The sequence below is a fragment of the Homo sapiens genome, chromosome 7 (assembly GCF_000001405.40).
Source record: "Homo sapiens chromosome 7, GRCh38.p14 Primary Assembly".
NCBI lineage: Eukaryota > Metazoa > Chordata > Mammalia > Primates > Hominidae > Homo > Homo sapiens.
The window spans coordinates 124,074,095-124,096,903 of record NC_000007.14 but is presented as its reverse complement, the minus strand read 5'-3'; the positions used below and the strand labels follow the sequence as shown (position 1 = coordinate 124,096,903).

Here is a 22,809-nt window from a genome sequence, read left to right as displayed (position 1 = left end):
ACCGTCAGAAAATACTACAAACACCTCTATGCAAATAAACTAGAAAATCTAGAAGAAATGGATAAGTTCCTCGACACATACACTCTCCCAAGACTAAACCAGGAAGAAGTTGAATCTCTGAATAGACCAATAACAGGATCTGAAATTGTGGCAATAATCAATAGCTTACCAACCAAAAAGAGTCCAGGACCAGATGGATTCACAGCCGAATTCTACCAGAGGTACAAGGAGGAACTGGTACCATTCCTTCTGAAACTATTCCAATCAATAGAAAAAGAGGGAATCCTCCCTAACTCATTTTATGAGGCCAGCATCATCCTGATACCAAAGCAGGGCAGAGACACAACCAAAAAAGAGAATTTTAGACCAATATCCTTGATGAACATAGATGCAAAAATCCTCAATAAAATACGGGCAAACCGAATCCAGCAGCACATCAAAAAGCTTATCCACCATGATCAAGTGGGCTTCATCCCTGGGATGCAAGGCTGGTTCAATATACGCAAATCAATAAATGTAATCCAGCATATAAACAGAACCAAAGTCAAAAACCACATGATTATCTCAATAGATGCAGAAAAGGCCTTTGACAAAATTCAACAACGCTTCATTGTAAAAACTCTCAATAAATTAGGTATTGATGGGACATTTCTTAAAATAATAAGAGCTATCTATGACAAACCCACAGCCAATATCATACTGAATGGGCAAAAACTGGAAGCATTCCCTTTGAAAACTGGCACAAGACAGGGATGCCCTCTCTCACCACTCCTATTCAACATAGTGTTGGAAGTTCTGGCCAGGGCAATTAGGCAGGAAAAGGAAATAAAGGGTGTTCAATTAGGAAAAGAGGAAGTCAAATTGTCCCTGTTTGCAGACGACATGATTATATATCTAGAAAACCCCATCGTCTAAGCCCAAAATCTCCTTAAGCTGATAAGCAACTTCAGCAAAGTCTCAGGATACAAAATCAATGTACAAAAATCACAAGCATTCTTATACACCAATAACAGACAAACAGCCAAATCTTGAGTGAACTCCCATTCACAATTGCTTCAAAGAGAATAAAATACCTAGGAATCCAACTTACAAGGGATGTGAAGGACCTCTTCAAGGAGAACTACAAACCACTGCTCAAGGAAATAAAAGAGGATACAAACAAATGGAAGAACATTCCATGCTCATGGGTAGGAAGAATCAATATCATGAAAATGGCCATACTGCCCAAGGTAATTTATAGATTCAATGCCATCCCCATCAAGCTACCAATGACTTTCTTCACAGAATTGGAAAAAACTCCTTTAAAGTTCATATGGCACCAAAAAAGAGCCCGCATCGCCAAGTCAATCCTAAGCCAAAAGAACAAAGCTGGAGGGATCACGCTACCTGACTTCAAACTATACTACAAGGCTACAGTAACCAAAACAGCATGGTACTGGTACCAAAACAGAGATATAGATCAGTGGAACAGAACAGAGCCCTCAGAAATAACGCCGCATATCTACAACTATCTGATCTTTGACAAACCTGAGAAAAACAAGCAATGGGGAAAGGATTCCCTATTTAATAAATGGTGCTGGGAAAACTGGCTAGCCATATGGAGAAAGTTGAAACTGGATCCCTTCCTTACACCTTATACAAAAATTAATTCAAGATGGATTAAAGACTTAAACATTAGACCTAAAACCATAAAAACCCTAGAAGAAAACCTAGGCATTACCATTCAGGACATAAGCATGGGCAAGGACTTCATGTCTAAAACACCAAAAGCAATGGCAACAAAAGCCAAAATTGACAAATGGGATCTAATTAAACTAAAGAGCTTCTGCACAGCAAAAGAAACTACCATCAGAGTGAACAGGCAACCTACAGAATGGGAGAAAATTTTCTCAACCTACTCATCTGACAAAGGGCTAATATGCAGAATCTACAATGAACTCAAACAAATTTACAAGAAAAAAACAAACAACCCCATCAAAAAGTGGGCAAAGGATATGAACAGACACTTCTCAAAAGAAGGCATTTATGCAGCCAAAAGACACATGAAAAAATGCTCATCATCACTGGCCATCAGAGAAATGCAAATCAAAACCACAATGAGATACCATCTCACACCAGTTAGAATGGCAATCATTAAAAAGTCAGGAAACAACAGGTGCTGGAGAGGATGTGGAGAAATAGGAACACTTTTACACTGTTGGTGGGACTGTGAACTAGTTCAACCATTGTGGAAGTCAGTGTGGCGATTCCTCAGGGATCTAGAACTAGAAATACCATTTGACCCAGCCATCCCATTACTGGGTATATACCCAAAGGACTATAAATCATGCTGCTATAAAGACACATGCACACGTATGTTTATTGTGGCACTATTCACAATAGCAAAGACTTGGAACCAACCCAAATGTCCAACAATGATAGACTGGATTAAGAAAATGTGGTACATATACACCATGGAATACTATGCAGCCATAAAAAATGATGAGTTCATGTCCTTTGTAGGGACATGGATGAAATTGGAAATCATCATTCTCAGTAAACTATCGCAAGGACAAAAAACCAAACACCACATGTTCTCACTCATAGATGGGAATTGAACAATGAGAACACATGGACACAGGAAGGGGAACATCACACTCTGGGGACTGTTGTGGGGTGAGGGGAGTGGGGAGGGATAGCATTAGGAGATATACCTAATGCTAAATGATGAGTTAATGGGTGCAACACACCAGCATGGCACATGTATACATATGTAACTAACCTGCACATTGTGCACATGTACCCTATAACTTAAAGTATAATAATAATAATAATAATAAACAAAAAAGAAACAGAAATTTAGGGCCCATAATCATACAGGAGGTTGAGGAGCTAGGTTGTTACTCATTTTTTTTTTAGTTGTTTCCTACTAAGTGAGGCATTGTCCCTGCCAAGCCTGGGCCCTAGAGTTTTTTTTCTGTCTTGTCTAATGGGGTGTAAGCCATGTTGTCTGTGGGACTGGTGGGCAAGATGTGAGATGTTCTATTAGTAGTCAAAGGTTGGAAGCTTTGGAAAACCATCATGTGGACTTGGAATTGTGAGTGAGAGAGTAATAAAGTAGTTAGCATTTCAAACAAAGTTGGACCAAAAATTAAAGCTAAAAGTATGGTAATAATTGACACTACTAAAGGGAGCAGGGCAGACAACAGCTATTGTTTTTAAGTCTATGGAAGTTTTTAAAGATTTAATTTTGTCTGCTTGGATAATGATATTTTTAATATGTCTTTGGACCAAACTGGACTGATTAATGTAAAAAAAGTATTTTATTTTTTAGACACAAACATGTTTTTTCTTGTCTGGCTGTGAGAAGATGTAAGGCTCTTTAAGACTGCAGTAGCCAGAGAGTCTAGTTGTTGAAATCTAATGAAGCCCTTTGTAATTTGTCAGAGGACCACTGTGGTTTTTTGAGACAGTTTATGTTGAATTTTAAGGCTCCACCTCTCGTGGCTGACTTTGTTCATTTTAATAAAGCACTAAATAGCACTAAATCTATTTAGTGCCTTATAAATAGCACTAAATCTAAGGGAATAAGGATAGCACTAAATCTAAGGGAATAAGGGGTTTTATTCGGAGGTGGATCTTGTGGTGTTGGTATATGGGGAAAGGGAGAGATGCATTAGCCTGTGTGAAAATTAAAAAAGGTAAAATTTAAGTGATGGAGCATTGTCTCTTTCATTGTGGAGAAAATTGTAGATATGTCAAAGATTTATAAACTCCCCCCAATTTTTTGTGATGGTGAAATTTGTGCTGTAAAAGTATTTCTTATTAAAGTGGTAAAAGTAATAGAAGTTTGGCATCACTGGGTATATTAGAGGATGGTAGAGTTGGGTGGTTTTAATATATTTTTTAATAAGGTTTCCCTTTTCAGGTTTTAGCATAAGGTGTATAGATGACCCAGTGTCAAAGCTTTAGTTATATTGACTCTCTTGGAGTCTTTCTATGAAAGTAGTGGAAATGGCATGATTGTTGTAAAGGCAGAAGGGGAATTGTTCTGGGTAAAAGGGAAGGTAAGAAAGTAATTTTTTCTTTGGCAGAATGAAGTTATTATTAACAGTTAAAAGTAGAAGTTTGAACTGGCCATAGCCAGGTCCAAGGAAATCTCTTTGTATTGTTTGTTTGGCCAGATGTTTTAATTTTATGGGCAATGGGTTTGTTCCAGGAGGAATATAGAAATGTTGGCTCAGTCTTCTTGAGGGACAGATCTGGCATATTTTTAACTTCCAGTTGTCATGTAAAGTCAGCAAGGTTGGGTTAATTTTAATAAGCTAGTAGTATAGTTTATTATTTCTTTAGCAGATAAAGCCATTTTACTAAGAGTGCCTAGTGTATAATGAGTAAATAAGAGAAAAATAAAACATTACTTAGCTTTTAAGGCGATCTCACTGTGAGTTGTGTCTTCGAGTAGAAGCTTATGCTGAGGCAATATTAATTGTTTGATATTTTGGGTTTCGGCTGTTTTTTGGACAGAAGCTTTAGATCCATGAGTGCTTCAGGGAATAATTTGAAGTCTGTGTTGTGGGTTTCTGTGACAACTTAAAAGGGAGAATTATTAATTTTTGATAAATGTACCCAAAGCCCCATATTCCCATGTTTTACTACAGTAGAAGTTGGTCAGCTGTGAGGTGGAGTGAAAATCCTAGTTCGGGGTTTGCTATTAACATCGAAGACAGTGTCGTGTTTGGCAGACAGAGGCCCAGGGCAGAAAGTGAGGACTGACATGCTGGCCCCTGTGTTTAAAAGGAAATTGATATCTTTACCTGCCCCATCTAGGGTCACCCCAGGCTCCATTGCTGTGATTGAGACTGATTGCTGCATGAGAGCCATCGTTTGCTTTGGGCTTCTTCAGTCTTTGGCCAGGCACAATAAGGAATTAAGAGTCCCATCCTTGCTTTGGAGTTGGCGACACTCTTTCTTTCAGTGTTCTTTTTTGTCCCATTGTTGATAGACTCCAGAGGGTTTACAAGCCTGAAGGCCCTTGTTACTTATTTGGCTCCAGTGTCCAGGATTTTTATATAATAAATATGGCAATAGCCCCTTGGGTTTTGCCCAGGATAATCTGAAGGTGGGAGGCTTTTTATAGCAGGGGCCCACAATTGGGCCCGTCTTTTGTCTCTCTTCTTTTCCCTTTGATTTCTCTGTGACTTTTTCACTCTGTCTTGGTTACTGAAGACCTCAAAAGCTATATTTCATAGTTAATTTATTAGGGTTTTGGGACACATAGCTAGTTTTTGTGACTTTTTCCTAATATCTGGGGCAAACTAACTAACGAAGTAAGTTTCTAAGAGGATTTAGTCTATTTGTTACCTTTCTGAGAGAGAAGTTTGTTTTTTATTTTAGGTGGGTTACAGGATATCCAGCTACAAGTTGATTCAGCAGGACTAGGCTCTTAAGGGATTTTTTGATGAACAAGCTGATATGAAAGGAGTACATAGACTGTGTGTTAAGTGAGGAAGGACTCCTAGAAGGAGTAGAAGTTCGAGAGGTTTGAGGAGTAACCCTGGACTAGATTTTAAGGAAGGAATGTTGTCGGTGGGAGGCACTTTTTTTTAAAACATAGAGTCATTAATTATGTTACATGTTCCCAAACTCTTTTGAATAACATGGGCATAAAATATTTGATATTGGTCTTTAAGAGACTTGTCTTAGCACAGATCTGTTTGTTTAGCGGGAGGAATAATGTCAGGTTTTCCTGGGCCCTTGGGAAATTTCTTATCATCTTTCTTTCTTTTTATGAAAAGATCTGATTGTAAAACACTCTGGGGCCATGTTGTGTAAATGGGCCTAATCCATGGAGCATTTATTTATCTTTTTTCTCACTTTAGTCATTGCTAATCTTTCATCTGTCCTTAATGTTTTAGTTTTTGCCTTAAAATAACAGCTTGGAGGTGTAAGTGGCCATACGCTTTAGGCTTTTTAGGTTCCATAAAGGGAATATGGCAGAAAATGTGTTTTAACCAGCAATTAAAGTATTTTTTCCCATGTAAAGACAAAAGTCCCTCCACCCCAGCTGAAGGTAGAGGGGCCCTGACACACACAGCAGAAAGGATCTTTAGGACAATTTTCATCCATCTTATGGGTCAGAGATAAAAAGAAAGCAGATGAAAGTCTATGAATACAGATGAACCAAAAAGCAAGATAAGTTTTCACGGAAGGACAGAACTCAAGTGGGGTGAATTGCAAAGAAGTGCAAACGTAACAGGATGGTTGTTACTAGCAGGGTGAAATGAAGATCTTCAGACATTGCGCAGTCTGGGCCTGTTCATTTGTGTTGATACAACAAAACACCTGAGACTGGGTAATTTTAAAAGAATAGGAATTTATTTCTCACAGTTCTGGAGGCTGAAAGTCCAAGATGAAGGGATCTTTGGGTTTGGTGTCTGGTGAAGGCCCTGTCTCTGCTTCCAAGATGATACCTTGTTGCTGCATCTTCTGGAGGAGACAAATGTTGTGTCCTCACATGGTGTAAGGCAGAAGGGCAAAAAAAATTTAACATAAGAAAAAAGAGCATAAACTAGTACCCTCCAGCCCTTTAATAAAGCACTAATCCAATCATGAAGTCCTCCTGACTTATTCACTTTCCAAACAGCCTCACCTCTTAATACCACCACAATGTGGATATAGTTTCAACACATGAATTTGGGGGACATTGAGGCCAATGCAGTCAGTAAAAGGTAGCAATGTAATGAATGTTTCCTTTAAAGTCAAAACACCTGGTTTAAATCTCACCTCCTTTACTTACTAGGGTAGCATTTAAGTTACTCTAAAAGATTATTTTAAAACTTCTTTTGCATACAACCTCATTATGTTAAATAGACTGTTGAAATTTTTGTTATGTTTTGTTTTTAAATCTCTCAAGCTCTAATCCATGATTACTAAACACGTTGGAAGTGGCTTATCCAGACACATAAAGTCCTATAATCTGATCCAGGAGGAGTCTAGATTAAAAGCGGTTCAAAATAATTGTGGCTTCTCATTATCATTTTGTTTCTAAAGATGAATGCCAGCTGAGCTAACTGGCTCCCTATTCCTCTCCACTTGCCTTCCAGGCTGCAAAATCCTGGGTCATGAAAGAAGCAGAAACTTAAGCAATTTAGATGCCTCAACACTTTCCAACAGTCCTTCTTGGTCACCTTTTTTTTTAGCTGTAATACAATTTCCTAATCTTGAGGAGAAACATACAAAGAATTACCATGATTTTCTGGCTGCATCTTGTTTTCTTAGAATTACTTACACTGTTTTCCTTTCTTGCTTTTTTTTAAAAAATCTTTTTTGGTTATAAATGTTACTTATTTCAGCAAAAACCTCATTTCAGTTTTTTTCCCATTGTGAATCAGATGAACTTTTTCACTGAAACTGTTACATTGTCTCATTGAATTTCAGGTCACTTGCAATTTCTTTTTTTCTTAATTCTACAGAGAGGAAAAAGGCTGAACTCCTAAGAACTCTGACCTACTCTCACTCACATTCCCTTGATAGAGCTCAATTTCAGTGGAAAACCTCAAATATTATTTACGTTCAGAAGTGTGGCCAGAGGAAATATCTTCTATGGGGTCTGAACATTTGGCTAAATGGCTCTGGAACTCTTTATGACCAATGTCTTTTGTATTTTCTCTCTTAATTCTCTGTAAAATTTCTAACCAGATTTAGATGATAAGCTATAAGTTTCGCTAATTTATTGGAATTTTTGATGCCTTAAATATTTTTGTCTATTAGTATATATGTCATTTCTTTCCATCTGTGCCAACAGCATAGCCAGCTGCTGGTATTTCTTCCTGTCTAGGAAACTATAGAATTTTTTCTCTAGCATCTTCCATATGCTCATTTTGTGTAGATTTCTGTATCTATTTCAAATCTCTTTTGATTCAATTACCTGCTTAATAATACATCTCATCACTAAGGTGATGTGTGCTCTGAAATTTTTTATTCCATTTAGGGGTAATTTTTAATGTGGAATCATATTACATGAGCAGCCAGGGGATTGTACAGTCATGCACTGCACAATGATGTTTCTGTCAATGATGGATTGCATGTACAATGGTGGTTTCATAAGATGATAATGAAATTGAAAAATTCCTATCATCTCGTAACATCATAGCCATTGCAACCCATTACTCACATGTTTGTGGTAATGCTAGTATAAACAAATACTGTGCTGCCAGTCATATAAAAGTATAGCACATATAATTATGTACAGCACATAATAGTTGATACTGATGATAAATGACTGAGTTATGGGTTTCTGTATTTTCTATACTATACTTTTTATTGTAATTTTAGAATGTACTCCTTCTACTTAAAAAAAAAAAAGTTAACTGTAAAGTAACCTCAGGCAGGTCCTTCAGGAGGTATTACAGAAGGCATTGTTATCATAGGGGATGACAGCTCCATGGATGTTACTGCCCCTGAAGATTTTCCAGTGGGACAAGATGTGGAGGTGGAAGAGAGTATTGATGATTCTGATGTGATGACTAAGACACAGAGACAATACACTAGGCTAATGTATTGTCTCTGTGTCTTAGTTTTAAACAAAACTAGTTTACAAAGTAAAAAATAAAAATAAAAAAATTAAAAATAGAGAAAGCTTACAGAATAAGTATTAAAGAAAATGTAAAGAAAAATGTGTTTTAAACTAAATATTATTACAAAAGACCAAAAAAGTTTTAAAAATTAAAAATCTTATGAAGTAAAAATTTATAGTAAGCTAAGCTTATTATTGAAAACATATTTTTTATAAATTTAGTGTAGCCTAAGTATACAGTTTGTAAACTCTAGAGTAGTGTACAGTAATATCCTATGCCTTCACATTCATTCACCACTCACTCACTGACTCACCCAGAGCAACTTCCAGTCCTGCAATCTCAGTTTATGGTAAGTCCCCTATAGAGGTGTACCATTATTTTATCACTTATGCCATATTTTTACTGTCCCTTTTCTATATTTAGATATGTTTAGAGACATAAGTACCTACCATTGTGTTACAGTTGCCTATGGTACTCAGTACAGTAACATGCTACACAGATTTTTAGTCTAAGCATAATAGGCTACACCATATAGCTTAGGTATGTAGTAGGCTACACCATCTGAGTCTAAGTGCACTCTATGATGTTCACACTATGACTAAATCACCGAAGGACACGTTTCTCAGAATATATCCCTGTCAGTAAGTAACACATGACTGCATATGAATTCTTAATGTTGGTAAAAACCAAACTAACAGAAAGTACAACCAATTTAATAACCATAAGAAAGAAAAAACATATTAAAGATATTATGTTGAGATATCCTGTATAATATTGTGCCACTTGTTTTCTATCAATACTTTTAGTGAAAACAGGAGTTATATTTTTTTGAGTATAAAGTAATACACAGTAAAAATGAGTTAACAGGCTTTTTAAAAACATATTGGCTAGACATTTTTAAATTATTGAACATGTCAGTTTGAAAGATTTTTAGTGTGTTTCTGAAAATAATTATAAACGATGTGTAATGCTGTCAAATCATTTCTCATCAATGAAAAAGTAGAGAAGCAAATAGGCATAGAAGTACTAGTTAACTTGAAAACACAAAGTCAGAAGTTGAAAGTAAATTTGATAATTTTCAGAAGACAACAATGTATATTTTTCTCAGCTCTACCTAGGGACTTGAGAAATGTTCCCATTACACACAGGGAAGATAGTACAAGAATTAGCTAATCTTAGAATCATAATGTTACTGGTACAACAGATGGTTTAAATGGTATGACTCCATTATTTCATAACTGATGAAATGAGGGCTTATCTGAAATCATAGATTATTCAAAACCACAAATTGATTAATGCAGAGCCCAGATCAAACCATAATTCCTGCCTCCCAGATAAGTTTCCTTCCTGCTATGCTAGTATACCACCAACTGCCAATTTCTAGCAGCTGGGACTTCTCTGTTGCAGGGGTCCATGCCCTTCGTATAACTGTGACTAAGTAAAATCAGTCTCGTTCATTTCTGCTACCTTCCAGTTACCCCTCCCAGGTCCTTACCACCTAAACCCTTCTCTGCTATGATCCTCCTTCCTAGGATCACTCCTTCCCCACTGAAGCTCCCTTTTACCTGATCCTCTATTCGTCTAAAGTGGTAGCTCACAAATCTGATCCATTTATCAAGCTAATGTGCTCAGGAAGGAACCTAAATCAACTGTCCCATCTGTATGTGGTTCTACTGTGGCTTTCCTAGAGTAATACCCAACCTGTTATCATTTTAACTCCATGGCTAGCAAACAGCATATGGGATTATTTCGGGAAAAAAAAAACAAAAAAAAACATTTACAAGGTCCTTTTATTTTTTCATTTAGTCTGAAAATACCTGAATTCACTTTAATGGTCAATAGGTATACTCTTATAACTTAAATCCTGTTGCCTACTTTACTTAATAGAAAATATTTTCTGAAAAAGTATCATCGATTTTAACAAACATATTAATATATAGGCATATTTGAGAAGATTAATGCAGCTTTCTAACCTTTGATCCTAAAATTAGATCACTAATCATGTGTATTAGTCCATTTTCATGCTGCTGATAAAGACATACTTGAGACTGAGAAGAAAGAGAGGTTTAATTGGACTTACAGTTCCACATCTCTGGGGAGGCCTCAGAATCATGGTGAGAGGTGAAAGGCACTTCTTACATGATGGCACCAAGATTAAAAGCATGAGGAAGAAGCAAAAGCGGAAACCCCTGATAAACCCATCAGATCTCGTGAGACTTATTCACTATCACGAGAACAGCAGGGGAAGGACTGGACCCCATGATTCAATTACTGCCCCACCCCCCATCTTCTCCCTCCCACAACATGTGGGAATTCTGGGAGAAACAATTCACATGGAGATTTGGGTGGGGACATAGCCAAACTATATCATCATGTCTTGAACTCAGGCAGCACTAAAGATACAAATACTTATCATTGATACAACCCACTGAGAATTTCAGAATTAGGAAATTCAAACCATGTATATGTGGAAGGCAGTCCTGCAGCAGCTGAGTGGCAGAATTTGTTGTATGGGAGAACAGGTAGAGTCTTCCTGAAGCCCTGAGATTACACAGACTTCATATATGTACTAAGTCTGCCTTACTGAGTATTTCATATTCTATAAACATGAACAGAGACAAAATAAGGCTTTAAATAAATAGTTGTGAAGCCCTAATCATACACAGTCCTTTGAAGGCTTTAGCTTCAACACATAATGAAACTAACTAACAAGACATACTAGCTCCTTTATCTTGTTCATGTTCTCAGTAATGTTTTATTGGGCATAAGTTAGGATAAAATGTATCCAAACAGAAAAGGAAAAAAAAAAAAAAGAATAGAGCAGCAAAGTCATCCAATAATGGAGAAACAAAGAAAGGACAGAATGTCAACAGGCATCGTAAAGTTTCCTTTGGCACGTGTACAAAAAGTCATTGTTCCAGCCAGGCAACCATATGCCTATAATGTGTCAGAGTCGTTCTCTGGGCAGGAATCCAGGGCTCCAGCCTTCAACTCTCTAATGTGGATTAATAATTCATTGTGTTATCTGAAAGACTGCATAATATAACTAGTCAGCTGACCCATGAACAACAATTCCTCCCAAGTCACATACACAGTTTTCAATGTTACCATGCAAAACAAGTCTCCACTTTAATCTGCCCATTGTAACATCGATTCACTCAATGAGAATTGGGTAGAAAGATGCATCTACCAAAGGCGATTCAGCTATAGGTGCTGTGAGAGAGAAAGGCAAGAAAGAAAAGAAATGAAGGAGTTTGGAAGGTCAATATGTGCTTGATTCCTGCCATGTGCCAAGAAATATGCTGAGAACATACAATCCTCAGGACAATTCTGTGAGGCAGGTAATGGGAGTATTCCCATTGCAGAGATGAGGACATTAAGAATTTAGGGCTGGGCACAGTGGCTCATGTCTGTAATCGCAGCACTTTGGGAGGACAAGGCGGACAGATCACTTGAGGTCAGGAGTTTGAGACCAGCCTGGCCAACATGGCAAAACCCCGTCTCTACTAAAAATACAAAAAAAAAGAAAAAATTAGCCAGATGTGGTGGTGCATGCCTCCAATTCCAGCTACTCAGGGGGCTGAGGCACGAGAATTGCTTGAACCCAGGAGGCAGAGGTTGCATTGAGCCGAGATTGCACCACTGCAGTCCAGCCTAAGTGGCAGAGTGAGATTCTGTCTCAAAAATTAAAAAAAAAAAAATTTAGAAAAGCTAAGTACATTACCCACATTCATTAATCTAGTTGGAAGGACTCGAAATTCTTCAGAAAAATGATCAGCTAAAATGGTCAAAGAAACATACCTGGAAATAAAGAAAAAATAGCTCCAAGACTCCGAGATAACATATGAGCAGACATATATATTGTACAAATTGAATATACAAGCACTGAGAAAATTTAAAATGATAATATCCAAACAGTGTTAATAAAAACTAGTAAGAACACTTTATGGAGATGAAGCTTGACATTGCTCCAAAGCTTCTCAACATTTTAAATAATGTGTGGCTCTATATTTAAACACTGACCTAATTACTGAGGCTGAGAAATACCAGATGAGTGTGGAACTTTAAAGTACATGAGTTTTAACAGGAAGAGCTCCAGGCTGGCCAGCATAAAAGGTTATAGATAGCATCTCTACTTTGCGAGCAGGGAGGAAGGAAGCAGAGAAGACAGCTTCTTCCTCTTCTAGTGGAAATCTATCTGGATGGCTGACAGATCACATCTGTAACAAGAGGCATCTTTTACGTCTTTACCAAGCAAATAATTAAAATCCACACGTCCAATGCAGATATGTATCAGCATCACCCAATTAAAAATTTCATCAATACTCAGAGGGATTTTACTTCTGCCAAGACTTTCTTGGCTCTTTAGTATCTATTCTCCTTAGTTAAATGAACAATTTTAAAATTCTAGAATTACTGACTCACTTTTTTTTTAAGAACTGGCTACCATGAAGTTCATGAATAAGGCTCTTGAGACATGCGAAACACAAGTCATTTTTATTTTAACCTCTTATTGAAAACCTTGCACTTTCGGTATCATGAATTTTGATTTATTTATCTTGGTAGAGAAATGGCCTGGTGAACAGTGCATAATTTTTTGCCAAAATGACATTTGATTTCTTTCCATTGACTATGGAAACACTGCTGAGCGTGATTGAGGAAAAAAAAAGTGATTTGATTCTCTGGTCTCCAGTTTTCACATCTGTCATTTGAGGAGGCTAGAATCAATGATGTAGGTTTTTTTCCCAGATGTAACATTTCCAGATATTCTATAGATCAAGAAAGGTAAGAACTAAAAAGTATCCTTTGGATTTAGCAATTAAGCAGCCAGTGCTACCTTTGCAGAAAACAATTTCTATGAAGGAATTTGGGACAAGGGGTTAGAGTTAGGTGAGTAAGGGAGGACCAAGTTGAGATGAAAAGCCTTAAAGGATGCGTGGGGAGTGAGCAAGTGGAGAATTGGACACTTACCTTTACAATAGCTTGGTCTTGAGGGGAAAGAGAAAATGAGGATGGGTGGAAGGAAATATCCACTTGGTGGGATAGAGGAGATGGGTTGCTTGCCTGCACTTAAAGACAGGAGAAACTTTGGCACATTTACATGTTGATGGAACCTTCTAGAGCAGTGGTCCCCAACCTTTTTGGTACCAGGGACTGGTTTTGTGGAAGACAATTTTTTCATGGACAGGGGATGTGTGGGAGAGGGTAGTTTGGGTATGAAACTGTTCTGCCTCAGATCATCAGCCATTAGTTGAATTCTCCTAAGGAGCACGTACCCTAGATCCCTTGCGTGCACAGTTCACATTAGGGTTCACACTCCTTTGAGAATCTAATGCCTGCTGATCTGACAGGAGGCAGAGCTCAGGTGGGAATGCTCAGTAATGCTCACTCACCTGCCGCTCACCTCCTGCTGTGCGGCCTGGTTCCTAACAGGCCACTGACCGCTACTGGTTTGTGGCCTGGGGGCTGGGGACCCTTGTTCTAGAGAAAAACAAGTAGAAAGTATAAAAAAGTAAAGTCTTTGAAGAGACAGAAGTGGATGAGTTTCAAGGCATAAGTGCAAGGATTCATCTTGGAGAGAAGGAAATGATCAAACAGTTCAGAAAAATGGTTAACTCTCCTGAGAAGGAAGAGTAAAGAAAGGTTGAAATAGTACACCACATGAAAATAGAACTTAATAGAACTTCAAAAATCTCGTCCCTGGCCAGGCGCGGTGGCTCACGCCTGTAATCCTAGCACTTTGGGAGGCTGAGGTGGGAGGATCACCTGAGGTCAGGAGTTCAAGACCTGCTTGGCCAACATGGTGAAACCCCGTCTCCACTAAAAATACAAAAATTAGCTGGGCATGATGGGGCATGGCTGTAATCCCAGCTACTCAGGAGACTGAGGCAGGACAATTGCTTGAACCCGGGAGGCGGAAGTTGCAGTGAGCCAAGATCCGAGATCGCGCCATTGCACTCCAGCCTGGGTGACACAGCGAGACTCCATCTCAAAAAAAAAAAAAAAACTCATCCCTTTTTCATTACAAGGTTGACTCAGCACATTCAGGCAAAAAGCAACAGGATCTGAATATCTATGTCACATCTGAATGAATGCATACAGTTAGGTGGAATTAAAGTATGTTTCAATCTGCATTTAATGCCAGATATCTTTGTTTAATCTTTCTCTTAGAGTAATGCCCTCATGAATAACAAGGTCAGACATAGATCCTAAAATTGGTTATTAACTCTCTTTCTTCTATATTATAATCTCCTCCTTTTTAGATTTGATTTCATTTAAAGAAATTACAGAGTATTCTTCGGGGAAAGAACACTGGATAAATAAGTCAAATACGAGGGTACTTTAAGCTGCCATTTACGGTCTGTGAGGCTTTACAAATCAGTATAACAGCCTAGGCCTCAATTTTCTCATCTATAAGATGAGGGGGTGAACTTAGAGAATCGTATAAAGGCCTTTCAGATCTAAGAATTCTCTGACTCTAAATTTAAAAACATTTTCCAAAGAGTGAATAATCTGGTTTACACCAGGAAAATAAATAAATGAGATATTTTTCTTCGATTTTCACCTTGAAATTAGTGCTTACATTTTTTTAAAAGTTGAGGTTTCTTTTTTGAATAGCATTAATATTTCACTTAAAGTTTTTTCTATTAATGTTTAATTTTCTGTCTCAGGTGCTAGTCAAATACCATTAGCATCACTTTGTTCCTTTATATACTTAATATATCAAGCCTACTGTGTTTTCTTCTACTAAAATGGCAGAGCTTAATTCATGACATTAAAGGCCAGAAATATGATTCTTGTCAGTGAAAGTAAAATATTTTGTTGTTGTTGTTGTGCTTCTTCCATTCCTACAAGTACACTCAAAAGCAGTCCAAATCTTCAGAGAACCAAAAGTACTGATGAATTTAGAAGGATCTAAATTAGTCACATTCAAAAGTACTCATTTCTAAAATGGCTCAAGATATAGACAATCAGAATTTGGTAGATTATGCTTTATATTATTTTTAATTCAAATGGGAATTCATTTATTTTTCATCTACATGGGAAATAATATATACCTCTATTATTTTCTTAGATAAGATTTTTTAGTACAAAAAAAAACCCCAGAAATTAACTCAAATTAGCCCAAGTGAAAAATAGGGTGTGGTTAAAAGGCTACAATAGAATCTCATAGGGCCAGGTGCCGTGGCTCACGCCTGTAATCCCAGCACTTTGGGAAGCCAAGGCGGGCGGATCACGAGGTCAGGAGATGGAGACGATCCTGACTAACAGGGTGAAACCCCGTCTCTACTAAAAATACAAAAAATTAGCCGGATGTGGTGGCGGGCGCCTGTAATCCCAGCTACTCGGGAGGCTGAGGCAGGAGAATTCCGTGAACCCAGGAGGCAGAGCTTGCAGTGAGCCGAGATCGCGCCACTGCACTCCAGCTGGGCGACAGAGCGAGACTCCGTCTCAAAAATTAATTAGTTAATTAATTAATTAATTAAATTAAAAAATGGAATCTCATAGAAATGAAATAACAGGGTTGTCAACCAGAAAACAAAGTAAAAGCAGCTCACAGAAGTAGACCCACCCCAATATCTCTGGCGCACGGCACAACACTACAATAGGAAAAAACATACCATATGACAAAATATTTAAAAATGATAAATCTCAAGATACCAAATTGTTAAATAAAATATATTCCGTCCTCCTAATTGACAAACTGAAAACAACATTTTAAAAATGTAAACCTACGGTTTTTTATGTTTGAAAGTTGGCAAAATATCACAGATAAATTATTATTGTACATATCTGGGTATTTGGCTGATAGGCTATTCATGTTTGGATGACTAATGAAATAGACATATGTAAGCATAAATATTTATTTCACAAAATTTATTCCTGTTTCCATTTTAGCAAAATTACTGATATGTAATTATAGTAAAAATGTTCATTTAGTCTGTGTTTTATCAATATGAATGCTAATTTAACCAACATCTCTTAAGTTGCTGTAGTTATTAAATAATATATTTGTATATTTCAGTTTGGAGAAACTTTATTCTTATGAGGCAGTGGCCATAGGACGTGTCAACAACTCAAAAATGAAGCAAGATCCTTTGAGCTGGAGCTGCAAGAAAAAAAATGACACAGGCCGGGCAGGGTGGCTTATGCCTGTAATCCCAGCATTTTGGGAGGCCAAGGCAGGCGGATCACTTTCAGGAGTTCAAGACCAGCCTGGTCAACATGGTGAAACACCGTCTGTACTGAAAATACAAAAATTAGCTGGGTGTGGTGGCACGTGCCTATAATCCCAGCTACTTGGGAGGTTGAGGCACAGGACTCACTTGAACCCAGGAGGTGGAGGTTGGAGTGAGCCAAGATCATGCCACTGTACTCCAGCCTGGGCAACAGAGCAAGACTCCACATCAAAAAAAAAAGAAGCAGCAGCAGCAAGAATTTTATATGCCATAATTTATAATTTAATGGAATTGCATACGGAAACTATCATCCTACAGAAAATATTGTAAAGTATATTGATTTTATAAATATCTATCCTTAAAATTTATATTTCTATATTCACCTTCTCTGAAAACAATATCTAGGACCTCTCTGTTACATAAAGAATCTGTAGCATCGTGTTACAACTCACATTTTACAGATTTATAAATAATATGAATTGTTTAATATTGCAAAATGATCCTTTTCCACCATGCACAATGGTTGCAAATACTATGCCAATTTGTGAATACCTCTGAAATCCAAATTGGAGTATTAAAGAGAAACAAGAAAGTATACATTCTGCACTACTGAAAAATCACATTTTATCGTGCAAGATTGATTGCACTAAATCAAAAGAAAACATTTCACTAGTAAGTTAGTCTTTTACCTAAACCAAAAGCTTGTACTTAACCAAATTCACCCTGCACTCAAGCAATGCCCATCTCTGACATCAAAAAGGCACAACTTCAGCTGGACCCTGCTGCCTTTATTTCATGAACACAGGGCAAAAGACATGAAGAAGCATTTCCCTTATGACTGAATCATGTTAGCCACAAGAGTGGATGTTCAGAGTTCAGGGTCTTGCTGTGCCAGCATGGAGTACTGGCTTCCAAATGACAAAGGTACCCCTGTGTTCTTTATCTTTAGTAATTGATTTTCACATGTGAGTTTGTGATATGTGTGTGTTTGTGATTTTCCTGTGTGATTTGTGATATATACATATATATACATACATATACATATATGTGTGTGTGTGTCTGCACGCACTTTAAAGGACTTAGGGGAGAACTTGCTTGACTTGCCTAGGTCTAAAAGTGATCCCGCACATAAGAATTGGGATGTCTGGCAGAATACTGCTCTATTTCCCAATAAGCCACACCATCTTATTGTTGCTTCTCTGTATATTTGCTCTATTTTCTTGCTTCTTTCTATAAATTGGCTTTCCTATTTCTGGTTTCTAAGATGCCCAAAAAAAATTTCAGTTAGCTTGTTGCTTTGCCATACAATGGCTCTGACCCTACGCTACTAAATCATTCAGTTTAAGCTTCCATCCTCATTGTAAAAGGCTTGATCCCCCAGGCTTCTTACTCCAAATTCCCAGAAAAATAAAATAAAATCCGATTGGCCCAGGTTGTCTCAGATGTTTACCTCTGGGGGTCTTACCTCAGCTAGAACCAAGAAAAGCAAAATATCTAGTATAATGGCAAATTTATACATTAATATTTTTTAAAGTTGAAGTTGATGACCTGTTGGCCATTGGAATCTTCTTAGAACCCAGGAAAAATACTATTCAAAAACTACATATTTCATTTTGTGTCTTATTCTTTGAGAAGAAAATGTTTTAATATCAAGCAAATAATAAGATGGTAAACTTTTTAATAATCAATTTAACTACTGAAAATACCAGATGTCAAGGTGGTGATTTTGCTGTTCTGATTTTTATATTTCAAGTGGAGTATATTAAATAAAGAAGTGAATGAATGAGGAGTTCCTCTTATGTTCTATCAAATGTGTTAGACCACATAACACAAAGAGTGAGGCCTATGACTTCTAACAAGAATCGTGTGTCTCTAGATATGTCATTTAGTCTCATCTTTTTCCCAGAAAAAGACAAGCTGCTTTTCTTTCCTTAATATTTATTATCTCTGCCTAGACTACTCTTCCCAATAATTATTATCTCACTGTAGAGCCCATTTATTCTCAAACTCCTGGTCTGTGGTCAACCATGAATTTCCAAAGGCTGTATTAGTTCATTTTCACACTGCTATAAAGAACTATCTAAGACTGGGCAGTTTATAAAGAAAAGATTTTTAATTGACTCACAGCACCACATGGCTAGGGAGGATTCAGGAAACTTACAGTCATGGCAGAAGGTGAAGAGGAAGCAAGGCACGTCTTACATGGTGGCGAGAGAGAGAGAGAGCAAGTGAAGTGGGAAGTGCCACTTTTGAAACATCAGATTTTGTGAGAACTCACTATCACAAGAACAGCATGGGGGCAACTGCCCCTATGATCCAATACCCTCCCACCAGGTCCCTCCTCGACATGTGAGGATTACAAGTCAAGATAAGATTTGCGTGGGGACACAGAGTCAAGCCATATCAGAGGCCTTCCCTGACATCCTAGTGGCTACCTTGGGTACTTATTCTCTCATCTTTTAGTTCTTTCCTTTAAAATAGGTATCGAAATCTGCAATTACCTTATTTATCCAGTTATTTAGTTTGTCTTCTCCTCTCTAATGAAAACTCTACATCCCAATATCCACCTATTATCTCAATATCCACATATGATTTTGGTATATAATATGTCCTAATTATTATTTGTTCAGTGTATGAATTAATTATGAAATAAGAAGGCTAGCACTTTGGGAGACCAAAGGAGGCAAATTGTTTGAGGCCAGGAGTTTGAGACCAGCCTGGGAAACATAATGAAAGACCTTGTCTCTACAAAAAATTTTAAAAAGAAAATTAGACAGGCTTGTTGGCACATACCTGTAGTCCCAGCTACTCAGGAAACTAAGATGAGACTATCCCTTGAGCCCAGGAGGTAGAGGTTATAGTGAGCCAGGATTGCACCACCGCACTCCATCAAACCTGGACAACACAGCAAGACCCTGTCTAAAAAACAAAGACTGTATGACTCTAGTAGATCACAATACTAAACCAAAGTTGCAAGATATTAACAATGGCAGACAATCAAAATTGTGAAACTGTAATTTATATTTGCAGTGTAATTGTGGGAACAAAAGTGATACCAAGTGAATTGTGATATTTCATTGAAATAGATCATTGAATAAGAAGTTAAGATCTAATGTTGCATAATCAAGAGGTTATATTTCACAAGAAGTTCATTAAGTGTAGACCAATATCATGCAACTTACATTATGTAATATGTTTGAATTGTCTATGGATTCTGCTTACAAACTTATCATACAATAAATATTAATTCCTGAGTAGGATGGTACAGGGTCAATGCAATGCCACAATATGAAAATTAAAACCACTGATCTTTAAACTAGTTTTGGTTTTTTTTTAAATATAAGTAATTTTATTGATAAGGCTAAGTCAACTGACTGTTTCTGAATTATAGGAAAATTGCCTAGATGTAACAATTAGCAGGTCAAAGGGACTGAAGAGCTTTATAGCTCAAATTTTATGTTGCCCTACTGAAAGAGGTGATCTAATTTGCATTTATTCCAGGGAGAGAATTGTCAATAATTAGCAATCGGTTGACTAAAACTGAAAGGTGGTTTCCTGATTGATATTTTCATCATTTCTTATTATACTAATTTCCTTAATAGCCATCTTTGAAATTACAAGAGATGCTTGTAATACTCCCTGTTAAATGAGTTCTAAAAGCCTGTTTAAATGCCACTTTTAAATTTGTCAGTCATTGGTTTGTGGGACTGTCATATCTGCCATTGTATCTCCAAACCTTGCAGTGTCTAGCACATTTTAGGCAATTAATGTTTGCTGAATCGAATAGAAAGTGACTATGAAAATAAACAGATATAAAACAATATTTTTTCTGCAATACTATGAAGAACTTCAGTCTAAGCCTGAATAATTTTTCCAAATCAGTAAAACAAAATCCTCCAGTCAGTGGTTCAATATCATGTAAACAAAACAACTTGTTGAATTCTTTTTATTTTTCAACCAGTTCTTTGGACACAGTCTCCAACACAAATCAGTTATTTCATTTGATTGCTTTATTAAAATTTCAGAAATATTATAAAAGGACAAAAAAGCAAATGCTTTTTGTCTGAATAACTGGCTAATGGAATATTCAGTAAAAAATAGATTATACTTTGAAGATATCGTGGGCATTATGAAAAAGTTTAAAAACCCACACTTCATGAGGTTTGGGAGAACAGAGGGCAATTTGCCAGTACCTATGAAAATTACTAATATATTTTCTCTTTGACCTAGAAATTCCTCATCTTGGAATATAGAGATACTTGCACATGTGTGAAATGGAATATGTGTAAAAACTTTATTTAGTATAAATTAACAACACAATATGAGAAACAACCTAAATATCTATCAAAAAAGCAACTCATTAAATATATTACTGTGCATCTGTATAATGGAATATCTTACAGCCATTAAAGAAAAATAAGCAATGTGCAGAAAAGGTGTAATTAAGATGTAAAATATGTGTTTCCATTTACAAAAAGAGAGAAGAAAAAGGATAACTATGTGTGAGTGCTTATTTATACATGCATAAAAGTATCTCTGGCAATACACAGAGGAAACTGTATCTTGCTTTTCTGCCTGGAGAAAACTGAGTGGGATAGATGTAGGAGGAAGATTTTCTCTATATTCTCTTTTCTAGTTTTGAATTTTGAGCCATGTGACTATATTGCCTAAACAAAATAAATAAATGCATTTTTGAAACACAGAGAAATGAAATTTTTGTGAGCAATATCTTCCTCCTATCGTCTAAATTGCACTAATTTCCCCATAACCATTCCCTCATTTGATTCACTGACTTGCCATCACCATTGCCAACTTCTTAAAAATAAAACCCTAGGAATAAAAGATGGCAGGAGGAGAGAATATAAAATAGACATAGAGACAAGAAGAAAGAAAAGGAAAAAGAAAAGAAGGTGCAGAAAGAGTAAGAGAAAGGACAAGAGTAGGAGGAAGCAAAGGGAGAAGGAGAAGGGGAAGAAAACAAGAAGGGGTGGAAGGGAAAAGAGAGGAAGAAACAATATAGCACAGATAGCTTTGTACAAAGACAGAGAAATTCATTCCGATGTTTCTAGGCAGGATTTTGACAATAGTACTTTCAATATTCATCTCACTTTTCTTATTAATGCCTCAACGGCTCACACCTTTCACCTGAAAGTGTTATGTTGTTTTTCTTTCAAAGTCTCACAATGTATCCATGACATAGATATCCATGACTTAAGGACTTATCCTGAAGTCTGAAAAACAGTTGGCCAGAAAATAAACTCAAAAACATGTGCCATCCTGTCTGACTCTGTCCACCTTCTGCACATTCACCCATAAAACCATGCTTGATTTATGGGTTCAGATTAGCCAAGTAAGTAAAACAACAATTATTTGTTTGATTTAATTTGTCAGCTGATTGGTTGGTTGGTTTCTGGGTTTTTTTGTTTTTGTTTTTTGTTTTTAAGTTGTCTGACATTGATCTTTTCTAAAATTATTAATACTTAATAAATATACATATTTTGGGGGCATGTGTGCTAATTTAATACATTCTTACAACATGTAAATATCAGATTAGTGTAATTGGGATATTCATCACCTTAAGTATTTTGTCTTTATGTTAGAAACATTTGAATTAGTTTCTTCTAGCTATTATGAAATAGACAAGAGATTATTGTAAACTATAGTCACCCTACTTATCTACCAAAATGAGGAGAGGTTGATTCATGGGTACAAGTATACAGTGTAATAGAATAAATAAGATAGTGTTTGGTTAGTTTTGATTTCAGAAATATAGTAACTTGGTAGTTTTGGGTATTAAACTGGGCACCAATTCTGGTTCTGACACTAACATCTGTTGAGCATTACTAAGCACTAGCTATCCTGCCAGGCCCTAGTGATACACAAATGAATAAAGCAGCTTATCTTCTAAAAAGACAGAGAAACTGGAATGTAACTAACAGTAACATAATGTGATAAACATCACTGGCAGCACCATGTGCTATAAAGAGCTGAGAGGGAGAGCAAAGTTCTTCTCAGCTGGAGGAGGAGAGCCTAGGGTAGAGAGGCCACACTTTATAAAGAAAGTGATACTT

At 36.9% G+C, this 22,809-nt stretch overlaps 1 long non-coding RNA gene across 1 annotated transcript; it reads right to left on the bottom strand.

Annotated features, from left to right (window-relative positions):
* Positions 1-6,335: 6,335 nt before the first annotated feature.
* On the bottom strand, positions 6,336-19,573 carry LOC124901741 (uncharacterized). Its single transcript, XR_007060509.1, has 2 exons — positions 19,532-19,573; positions 6,336-6,491 (listed from the first exon to the last, which is right to left on the bottom strand). It is a non-coding gene; the product is annotated as an uncharacterized LOC124901741 (long non-coding RNA).
* Positions 19,574-22,809: the final 3,236 nt, after the last annotated feature.